At 41.7% G+C, this 12,078-nt stretch overlaps 1 pseudogene across 2 annotated transcripts in view; it reads left to right on the top strand.

Moving 5' to 3' along the window:
• FAM239B (family with sequence similarity 239 member B) overlaps positions 1–12,078 on the top strand; it is a 35,468-nt pseudogene extending 23,390 nt beyond the window's left edge. Inside the window, exons 3-4 of one of the 2 annotated variants that reach the window (NR_146579.1) lie at positions 4,002–4,237; positions 10,438–12,078. The product of NR_146579.1 is annotated as a family with sequence similarity 239 member B, transcript variant 2 (transcript). Of the gene's footprint in view, positions 1–4,001; positions 7,937–10,437 lie in introns of those variants that run through there. The other variant, NR_146578.1, reaches the window with a different exon arrangement.

Below are 12,078 nucleotides of genomic sequence, written 5' to 3'. Positions count from 1 at the left end.
TATGAGAGGGTCTTTCTCTTCCTTCAACCTCGGCCTCCCAAAGTGCTGGGATTACAGGCCTGAGCCACCGCACCCAGCTATCTTGGTGTTTTTAACCTTAATAACGACAAAGTGCATCCTCGATATGGTCTCATCCCCCTTGCTGTAAGCACGTTAAAATGCTGTTATGACGTGCATTCAAGCGATCAAATGGTGCTAACATCAATGCCTTTGCCTGCAGAATTAATTCAGGGGTTTATTTGAAACTCAATAAAAAAGGCCTAATGTGCAACATTCGGCAGACAAGAAGCCATATGCAGATACTTTCTTTTAAAATAACAGGTCATTATTTGGTTCTTTCTCATGTGAGAGTCAGATGACTCAGAGCCAACATAAATTCCAAGTGGTATGCAGAAAACCAGTGCATAGCTGGAGAGGGGAATGAAGGTTAGTATCTGCAGTAAGGCTGAGTCGATGCAAACGGCCACACGGTCATGGATTCACAATGATCTGGGTCTCCATCATCCTGCAAACCAACACCTTGCACAGCCTTCAAACACCAGCTGGGAAATCAAAAGTAGCATGTGCAGTAGCAGGAGATCTGTTCACCCTCTATTTCCTCTCATCTCCATGCGGCAATCTGTGAACGGAGAGAAGCCTTTAAGCTCTGGGGTCTGCTGCTCTGCAGAGACAATTTGCATTTCTCTCAACACTCCTGGAATTCTTACTGGGAAACCCAGGGTACCTGGGAGCTCAGGCCATCCTGTGTCCTTTGGGATGTCAGGAGGAAGCAGAATAGCCAGCTCCCAAATGGAATACTGCAAAATGCTCACTTCTCAAGGGTCTGTTTTGGGTTTTGTGTTGTTTTTTTTTTGAGACAGGGTCTCTGTCACACAGTCTGGAGTGCAGTGGCATGATCCCGGCTCACTGTAACCTCCACCTCCCAGGTTCAAGGGATTCTCCCACCTCAACCTCCCAAGTAGCTGGGACTACAGGCACGCACCACCACACTCAGTTAATTTTTGTATTTTCATTTTTGGGGGTTTTTTGGTAGAGACAGAGTTTCACCATGTTGGCCAGGCTGGTCTCAAATGCCTGACCTCAAGTGATCTGCCCACCTCAGCCTCCCAAAGTGCTGGGATTACAGGCATGAGCCACCGCGCCCGGCCTCCTTCAAGGGTCTGAATCCAGCCAGTGAGCTTGCCCTACATCATGCCTGCTTCATCCTATGCAATGGAGAGAGGCTGAGATTTTATTTTAATGAGAAAATCTATTGAATTGCATTACATTAAACTAAAATGGAGAGACACAAACATAAAAAATGAAATAAAAATCCAGAAATTGCAATAGTAGGTAACCCTCCAAAATGTGGCAAAGCTCTGTGTATATTAAAAGTGTACTGAGGTCGGGCGTGGTGGCTCACACCTGTAATCTCAGCACTTTGGGAGGCCAACGCAGGTGGATTGCCTGAGCTCAGGGGTTCAAGACTAGCCTGGGCAAAACAGTGAAACCCCATCTTTACTGAAGTACAAAAAATTAGCCAGGCATGGCGGCATGCACCTGTAATCTCAGCTACTCGGGAGGCTGAGACAGGAGAATTGCTTGAACCCAGGAGGCGGAGGTTGCAGTGAGCTGAGACCTCGCCATTGCACTCCAGCCTGGGCAACACAGCGAGAGTCCATCTCAAAAACAAAACAAAACAAAAAATATACTGAAACATGCAACATCCACCTTTTCATAATAGTTCCCGTGGCCTACACAAGTGAGTATGAAATGCTTAATATTTTGCTTGCCCTACATTTTCTTTTGCTGGAAGGGTGGTTCTGGATAAAAACTTTTTATTTTCCCGTTCTTTGCTTTTTCATTAATGCTATTTTCTTTGCCCCAAAGTTATAGAGTGGAAAAACTCCCAATCTCTTTTTCTTCTCTCTTGTATTTTCAGGTAGATGCATTCTATTACTATATTCTATCTATCCGTTCATTCCATCTATAATCTATCGTCTATTCCATATATCTATCCACCATCTATCTATCTATTCCATCTATCATCTATCTACCTACCTATTATTGTCTATCTGTCTATCTTTCTATCATCTATTCATTATCTATCTATTCTATCTACCTATCATTAATCTGTCATCTATTCCATCTAACATCTATCTACCTATTGTCTATCTTTCTATCATCTATCGTCTATCTACATTTACCTATATTGTTCTCTCTGTCAATCATCTATCTATCCATCTATGTATATATGTATTTATGAATGTATGTGTGTAATTTTCTATCTTCTAGTTATCCATCTGTCTATCTATCCATCCGTCCATCTATTTCTCTTATGTATACAGATAAATATATAATCTATATATCTTACATCTGTAACATGTTCTTTTTACTTTTATACATCAGTGACATTAATTAAATCCCACCTAATAAAAATTGTATTCTAAAATTTGGTGTAGTAGGAGGCTGAATAACCTGACCCTAGATCAAGGTACACATTGTGTGGCTGAAAATCACCTGGCTTTGTTAGACTTCATCTTTCTCCTACATAGGACTTGGTAGCCAGCCTAGAAAATCTCAAAGGTGCCTTCAACCTTTGAATGCATTGGTTCCATGGAAGCAGGAGGCTTAAGCTCTAGACCCATGGCTGTTGTAATTACACATAACTCAGGCATTGCCATAAGGGACCCTTAGGATGGCAGTACGACACTTGTTCCTCAGAATACCCTACATGCAAATTTGCCCTCCCAAGAGCCATATTTTACAAAGTGATAATCTTGGGAACATGGTCCACCCAAATGCCTCTGCCTGCAGTGGATTTCTGCAGACTTCAGACAATCTGGGCACCATCAAAGCCAAGCACTCCCTGGTGTAGTATCTAATAGGGACCATGTAATTAGGGCATGTTTTATGTGAGATTCTGCTCAAGAGATGTAAGTACAAGAAAAAGACAGCTTTTCACGGCAGAGATAAGATAATTGAGCTGTCTGGCATAGTGACTCAAAGCCATTGAAGGTTCTAGTCAAATGATTCCTCTGGTTTTGACTTTTTAAATGGCTCTTTCACTGTTGTTGCCTCTGGCAACTACCATTATAATTGGAGGAAATTTTGTTCCGCTAAGAGGCTACTCCATTTACGGACTCAAGCCAGACCAAAATAATGAAGCTCTCTTATAATCCCGGTATGTTTCCTGATCATTCCCATTTCCCTCTCTGGCTGTCCAGAAATAGACTCTCTTCCAAGGTATCACTTTTATTTATAGCCAATATGAAGGTCTTGTAGAAAAACACTGACTTCCAAAAACAACAGACGCATGTTGGCAAGAGTACAGAGACAAGGGAATGCTTATACACTGTTGGTGAGAAGTAAATTGTACAACCTCTATAGGAAACAGTATGTAGATTTCCCAAAGAACTAAAAATAGATCTGCCCTTTGACCCAGCAACTCCACTAATGATTATCTATGCAAAGGAAAAGAAATTATCAAAAAAGATGCCTATGCTTACATTTTTATTGCACCTCAATTCACAATAGCAAAATCGTGGAATGAACCTGAATGTTCATTGGATGAAGAAAATGTGGTATACACACACCAAGGAATACTATGCATCTATAAAAAAGAATGAAACTGTATCTTTTGCAGCAACATAAATGGAGCTGCAGGTCAATATCCTAAGTGAGATAACTCAGAAACAGAAAATCAAATACCACATGTTTTCACTTATAAGTGGGAGCTAAAAATGGGTACACATGGACCTATAGAATGGAATAACAGGCACTGGACACCTTTAAAAGGGGGAAGGTGGGAGAGGATGAGGGTTGAAAAATTACCTATCTGGTATTATGTTCACTGTTTAGGGGACAGAAGGCCAATCCCCACCACTAGGCAACATATCCATGTAACAAACCTGCACCCTTATGCCCTGAATCTATTTGTTTTTTCAACATTGACTTCCATGGTCACTATTTGTGAAATCACTCCTCATGAACCAGGACTTGCATGTTTTTTTGTTTCTCAGGTGAACTGTCACCCCTACAACTCAGCTTGCAACCAGCCCTGGCCACCACCAGTTTCCCCACACTGAGCTGAATATTGGACATGCCCATCTTAGACATTCCAGCCCATTCTGAAATTCCACATCGATTCACCCGACAAAGTCTGAAGTTCCAGGGCAATTTATCTGGAAAAGCTCACCTGGAATCATGTGTCATTTCAACCAACAACTGTCGAAGAGGACGTGGCATCAAAACCAAGGTTATCAATTATTTATAAGGGTTGTGTGGTGGTTGGTCCAAGCATCTCTCCTTCATGCCATCACTCCTTTCAAGAGCTGCCTCTATTTTCTAATTTAGCACAGGAATTTAGATGCCCCTAAATAAGTAGGCATCCAGTATCTGCCCACACCAGTTTTAGTGAGAGTACATATGGAGACACTGCCACCACCCCTGCTCTCCTACTGCATACCCCACCATGCCAAAGCATGGTGGCTCACACCTGTAATCCCAGTGCTTTGGGAGGCCAAAGAGGAGGAACACTTGAGGCCAGAAGTATGAGACCAGCCTGGGCAACATAGTGAGACCTCATTTCTATAAATAAGTTAAAAAAACAAAAAAATAGGGCACAGTGGTGCACATGTGTGGTCCCAGTTACTCAGCAGGCTGAGGCTGGAAGATCACTTGAGCCCAGGAGTTTGAGGCTGCAGTGAGCTAGGATTATGCCACTGCACTCTAGCCTGGGCAACAGAGAGAGACCCCATCTCTAAAAAGAGGGAGAAGAAGGAAGGAGGAGGAAGAAGAGGAAGAGGAGGAGGAGAAATACTGCTCTTTCTCAGGCCCAAGGTAAAAAGGTTTTTGGTCTCATGTTGACCAGAAAGACATTGATATTTAATTAAGCAATATAAAAAGGCTCATTGTTAGGATTAAAGAGTAAGTAAAATCAATATTGAGATAGGAGGATGGAGGACACCAACTGAGTTCCGATCCCAATGAAGAGGAGAAAAAGCTACAACTATCTAGGTGAAATATCTACTTATCCTAGAAGAAGCCTTTTGACAGCAACATAAAATTCATACCTATAGGTTTTTAATTCCTATGGATGCCGTAGCAAATAACAAAAACTTGGATGGTGTAAAGTAACAGATGTTTACTCTTTTCCAGTATTGGAGACCAGGAATCTGAGATCAAGGTGTGGGCAGGGGTGCGCTCCCCCTGGAGGTTCTAGGAGAGGATCCTTCCTGCCTCTTCCAGCTCCTGGTGGCTCCAGGTGTCCCTGGGCTTGTGGCCACATCACTACATTCTCTGCCTCCATCTCCACGTGACCTTTTCCTCTGTGTCTGTGTCTCCTCTTCTGTCTCTTAGAAGGACACTGGTCATTGGATTTAAAGGCCACCTGGGTAATTTATAGTGATCTAATCTCAAGAATCTTTCCTTAATTACATGCAAATACTCTTTATCCAAATTAGTTTGCATTCACAAATTCTGGAGCTTAGTACTTGGACATATATTTTGGGGGGTTGATGGTTGGAGGGGCTTTTATTCAACTCAGTACATCTTAATAAGGAATTAATGCCCCCCAACTTGCCTTACAAGTCATATATTAAAAACAATGTTGGCCTGGCACAGTGGCTCATGCCTGTAATCTCAACACTTTGGGAAGCCAAGGGAGGAGGATCACTTGAGCCCAGGAGTTGGAGACCAGCCTGGATAACAAAGGGAGACCCAGTTTCTACAAAATATTTAAAAATTAGCCAGGCATGATGGTGCATGCCTGTGGTCCTAGCTATTCAGGAAACTGAGGTGGGAGGATCACTTGAGCCTGGAAGTTCAAGACAGCAGTGAGCTATGCTCACACCACTGCACTCCATCCTGGGCAACAGAGCTGGACTCTGTCTCAAAAAACATAACACTAAAACATCAAAATTAAAAAAAAAAAACACTGAAAGTAGCCTCCACTTACAAACTAATTACTCTTTCTTGAAAATATTACACTTTTTTTCTTCTATATCTCTACTCCTAGCTCTCAACACCTTTCTTAAGCCCACATCATAACCTGTCTTGCATAACTTTGTGAGTGCCCAACGTTTCACTGTACAAGATTGTAGAGCTGCATGCTTCTTAAGAATAAATCCACACTTTAGGTACCAGTAAATCCATGCAATGCCTCAGACGTTATAACCAAATAATGCCTGGAAAATCGACATGAATTTATGTGAAGCATAAGCCTTTAATTTTTTTAAAGAAAAGTAGATTGCTGTTTTTCCACATCATTTCAGAGCCGTTCTCTAGTTTTGCATGCCCTTTACTGCAGAACCATACAGATTTTGTTCTCCATTTCATACATCATTTGTTGAAATGCCCTTTAAAATGTAACGGAATATAGAGCTTTATGGGAAAAAATGCTGTAGAAAATAAATTATCTTCTCTCTTTGTATTGGGAACCAAAAGGTCTCACCTTATTAATGACCACAGAGACTCTCCTAAAGCAATTCTGGAAGTCAAAACAGCTGGAGTCTAGTTTAATGGGAACCCTCATTAATTAGACAAGAACACCAAGGCTATGACCACAGCAGCTGGTAGCAGCAGCCCTGCAGTGAAGTAGACTCTCAGAGGACACAAGGAAAGAGTGTATTGATAAGAAATCTACAGCAAAGGTGTAGCACATCATCATTTGATCTTGATACACTTGACTGTGGGCAAAGTACCTGTTATGTAAAACATGCTTTGTTAGTTAGGGCCATGATAAGCTGCTTAAGCTGATGAATGAACACCAAATCTCAGTGTTTTTTTTTTTTTTTTTGGTTTTTTTTTTTGAGACAGAGTCTCACTCTGTCGCCCAGGCTGGAGTGCAGTGGGGTGATCTCAGCTCACTGCAAGCTCCGCCTCCCAGGTTCACGCCATTCTCCTGCCTCAGCCTCCCGAGTAGCTGGGACTACAGGCGCCCGCCACCATGCCCAGCTAATTTTTTTGTATTTTTAGTAGAGACGAGGTTTCACCATGTTAGCCAGGATGGTCTCAATCTCCTGACCTCATGATCCGCCCGCCTCAGCCTCCCAAAGTGCTGGGATTACAGGCGTGAGCCACCGCACCCAGCCCGTATTTTTTTTTCTAACAAATACCTGGTGTTAAGCCCAAAGTGTGTGTTTCTGGTTGGCTGGTGATGCTCTTTCAAGTCCTGAATCAGGGACCCAATAACTTTCAACATTGTGGCTCAGCTCTCTTCAACAGCTGCCTCCAAGTTCTCTTGAGATATTGGTATTTATCAGAGGAGAGGGGATGGAGAAGGTATATGCCTTTGCTAGAGCTGCCATAACAAAGGACTGTAGACTGAGGGGCTTAAACAACAGAAATTTATTTCCTTACAATCCTGGAGGTCGGAAGTCTGAGATCAAGGTGTGGGCAGGGCTGGTTCCTCCTGAGGCCTCTCTCCTTGGCTTGTAGACTCTGTGTTCTCCCTTTGTCCTCATACAGTCGTCTCTCTGTGTGTGTCTGTGTCCTCATCTCTTCTTATGAGGTGTCTTAGTCCATTTCAAGCTGCTATAACAGAACACCATAGACTGCAGGGCTTAAACAACAGACATTTATTCTCCCATTGTCTTGGAGGCTATCTATCTACCTATGTAGCATCTATCTACCCATCTATCTATCATCTGTGTATAATCTACCTATTATCTATCTATCTACTTATCATCTACTTATCATCTACCTATCATCTGTCTATTTTTCTGTCTATCATCTATCTACCATCTATGTATCTACCTATCATCTAGCCATCTGTCATCTATCATCTATCACCTATCATCTATCTGTCTCACCTATCATTTATCTATGTATTTGTGTATCATCATCACCCAGCTATGAACTATCTATCATGTATGATGTATCTATCATCTATGTATCTACCTATCTGTTATTTTGGTCAAATATACATAATATAAAACTCACCATTTTAACCATTTTTAAGTGCACGGTTCAGTGGCATTAAGTGGATTCACACTGTTATGCAACCATCACCACCACCTATCTCCAGAACTTTTTTAATATCCTCAGTGAGATTCTGTCCCCATTAAACACTAACTCCTCATGTTCCCTTCCCCCAGTGCCCAGTGCCCACCATTGTCTCTATGCATTGGATGACTCTAGAGACTTCACATGAATGGACTCATAGAGTATTAGTCTTTTTGAGCCTGGCTTATTTTACTTAGCATAATGTCCTCAAGGTTGATCTACGTTGCAGCACGTGTCAGAATTTCCTTCGTTAGGGCTGAACAATGTCTCATTGTATGGATGGACCACACTTCGTTTATCCATTCCTCTGCTGATAGACACTTGGGTTGCTTCCACCTCTTGGCTACAGTGAAAAACAGTGTTACGGACATAGGTTTACAAGTATCTCTTTGAGACCCTGCTTTCAATTCTTTTGAGTATATACCCAGAAGTGGAATTGCTGGATCCTATGCTAACTCTGTGTTTAATTATTGGAGAAACCACCACACTGTTTTGCACAGGGGCTGCACCATTGAGCATTTTCACCAACAATGCACAAAGATTCCCATTTCTCTACATCCTGGCTGACACCTGCTATTTTCTGGATTTTGTGAATCGTAGCCATCCTAGTGGGTGTGAAGTGGTACAGCTTTTATTTAACACTGAAGGACACAGCACAGCAAGAGAGAGAAAAAGTGTGTGCGCAGGCCAGCATTGGGATACAGAGAGACCCTTGTGCAAGATCCCAGGGTTCGTATTGATGCATGAATTGAACCACCTAAATATAGTGAAGCCATACTGACTTCACAAGTGGTTAGGCCAGTTGCAAGCCATCAGTAAAGAAATTGACCCTCAAGGGATTTCTTGCTTTTTTTTTTTTTTTTTTGAGATGAAGTTTCCCAGGCTATAGTGGCATGGCATGATCTCAGCTCACTGCAACCTCTGCCTCCTGGGTTCAAGCAATTCTGCTGCCTCAGCCTCCTGAGTAGCTGGGACAACAAGTGCGTGCAACAACACCTGACTAATTTTTTTGTATTTTTAGTAGAGACGAGGTTTCATCATGTAGGCCAGGATGGTCTTGAACTCCTGACCTCAGGTGATCTGCTAGCCTTGGCCTCCCAAAGTGCTGGGATTACAGACGTGAGCCACTGAGCCCGACCAAGGGATTTCTTAATTGTACATTTTAAAAGAACTTAAAGAATGTCATTGGATTGTTTGTAGCTGAAAGGATAAATGCTTCAGGGGATGGATATCCCATTCCCCATGATGTGCTTCTTTCACATTGTATGCCTGTATCGAAACATCTCATGTAAGGCTGGGCACGGTGGCTCATGCATGTAATTCTAGCACTTTGGGAGGCCAAGGCCAGCGGATCACTTGAGGCCAGGAGTTCGAGACCAGCCTGCCCAACATGGTGAAACCCCATTTCTACTAAAAATACAAGAATTTGCTTTACATGGTGGTGCACACCTGTAGTCCCAGCTACTCAGGGGGCTGAGGCAGGAGAATTGCTTGAACCCAGGAGTCAGTGGTTGTAGTGAGCCAAGACCACATTACTGCACTCCAGCCTCGGTGACGGAGCCAGACTCTGTTTCATAAAAAACAAAAACAACTCATGTACCCCATAAATACATACACCTACTATGTATCTACAAAGATTAAAAATTAAAATTAAAAATTTTAAAAAAGAAATCTTATCCCACCATGCAAAGCAAAGAACCACTCTATTCTACAATTACCAAGCCCAGTATGAGACTTTAAGCAACATCTCATAAAACCCACTGACCGTGGGTCAAAGACCAGACCTCTAGTAGTTGCAAGAGATAGATAGAGCTTGTCCAGTTCAGCTATAAATCAATTTTATTTCCACAGAGGGTCACACAGCCCTTTCAAAAACAACCATATTGGATCAAACACAAAATTCGTAAAAAATATTCCTCCTGTTCCCCCAACCTCAAAATATATGTTGAAGGTCATATGGCCAGGGGCAATGCAGATTCAAAGCCACTATTGTGAGCTGCATTGACTATACCACCATGTAATTCATAATGTGTTGAAAATCAAATGCTCATGATAAATGATCATTGATTAGGGCCCCTAGTTGTGAGTGTACCTATATTTTTTCATTCTATAAAAGCAAATATTAAATCAACATGAAGAGTAAATAATTACCCATATTATATTGAGAGGGTGAAATTGGTTTATATTCCATATGGAGTTCAATTGATCATTATTTTCATCCTTGACACTTGGGTTTATCCATTCTCCAAACCACCACTTTGGAAGAGCAAGTTAATATACAATTACTGCTAAAAAAGGTACATACCTCCAATTTTGTGTTGTGTTGACAATTCCACTTGTTTGTTCTGTCCTTCTGATTGGGAGTATTATTTTCCTAGGTCTGTTTTAACAAAGTTCCATAAATTGAGACACTGAATGAGTCTCAATAAATGTGCATTCTCACATTTCTAGAGACCAGAAGTCTGAAATCAAGGTGCGGTCCGAGCCACACTCCCTCTGAAGGCTCAGCCTGGCCAACATGGTGAAACCCCATCTCTACTAAACATACAAAATTTATCTGGGCATGGTGGTGCGCACCTGTAGTCCAAGCTACTTGGGAGACTGAGACAGGAGAATCACTTGAACCCAGGAGGCAGAGGTTGCAGGGAACAGATATCATGCCACTGCACTCCAGCCTGGATGACTGAGCAAGACTCCATCTCAAAAACAAAAACAAAAACAAATACAAAAACAAAAACAAAAACAAAAACAGAGACTGATGCTCACAGATTGTGTATTCCAGACCACCAAGTTAATTCAGCATTGGCAGTGACATCATGTTCTTCCAAACAGCATCCCCTTTCTCCTTCTGGGTACTGAATTTTTGTAAATGGCAAATGAATTCCTTCATTAAGCCACAAACAGTGACATGACAGCTGCAAATTCAGCCATCTATAAGGTTTCCAGATAAAAGACACAACACCAATTAAATGTGAATTTCAGATAAATACTGAATAATTTTTTAGTATCCATATGCCCCCAGTGTGACATGGGGCATACTGATACTCAAAAATCTGTTACTTGGCCAAGTGCAGTGGCTCACACCTGGAATCCTAGGACTTTGGGAGGCTGAGGTGGGGGGATTGTTGATCCCAGGAGTACAAGACCAGCCTAGGCAACATGGTGAAACCCTGTCTCTACAAAAATACAAAAATTAGCTGAGCGAAATGGTGCACACCTGTAGTCCAACTACTCAGGAGGCTGAGGTGTGGGGATCGCCTGAGCCCGAAGAGGTAGAGGCTGCAGTGAGCCGTAATCACACCACTGTACTCCAGCCTGGGCCACAGAGTGAGACCCTGTCTCAAAAAATAAAAATAAAAAAGTAGAATAAATATAATTAAAATTTAAAACATTTTAAAATGTGTTATCTGAAATTTAAATTTATTACAATTTTTATTTGCTAAATGTGGCCACTCCAAGTGTATGGAGTATTTATTCTACCATGCAGTTTTTAACACTTGCATCTCTGCATCTGCTTCTGTTCCAGGACAGAGAAAAACTAACACATTTCTGCTGTATCTAAGAATATGTAGATATACCTGTGTTTTGATTCTTTCTGATTTCAGTACTAAACATCCCTCATTATCATTCTCAGGGAAAAGATGAATGTAGAATCTCTGCTGAGCTAGTATTTCCTGACACCCTGTTTATGTGCCTTGTGAATTGTGGGCATTGCCATGTGGGTTATTTCATTTCATCTTCACAATCACCCTCCAAAAGTAAAAAACAAAGACTGCCTCACTCAAATGTCCACTGCCATCAGTGCCCCATGAGTATATATACGGTGCCAAGCTCTGCCATGATCTCTCCAGAGAAGAGGAGTAAAACCAAAGAAGTGAAGACGTGTCTGACTGGAAGGGAACATCTGTGACACCTTCTTTTCCAAATGTTCTTAAAGTTTAAGCAGATTATTGTAAAGGAAATATGAAAGAGTTAGTACTTAAAAAAAAACCTCCTTGTATCAAAATGTCCCATTCCCAGCCTCTATTCAATTTCAATCTTTTAAATGTTTGTTTTCATATTTACAATCATGGTGCTATGTAATATTCTTAC

This window comes from Homo sapiens, chromosome X (assembly GCF_000001405.40).
Source record: "Homo sapiens chromosome X, GRCh38.p14 Primary Assembly".
Taxonomy (NCBI): Eukaryota; Metazoa; Chordata; class Mammalia; order Primates; family Hominidae; genus Homo; species Homo sapiens.
This window is presented reverse-complemented; position numbering and strand designations above follow the sequence as displayed.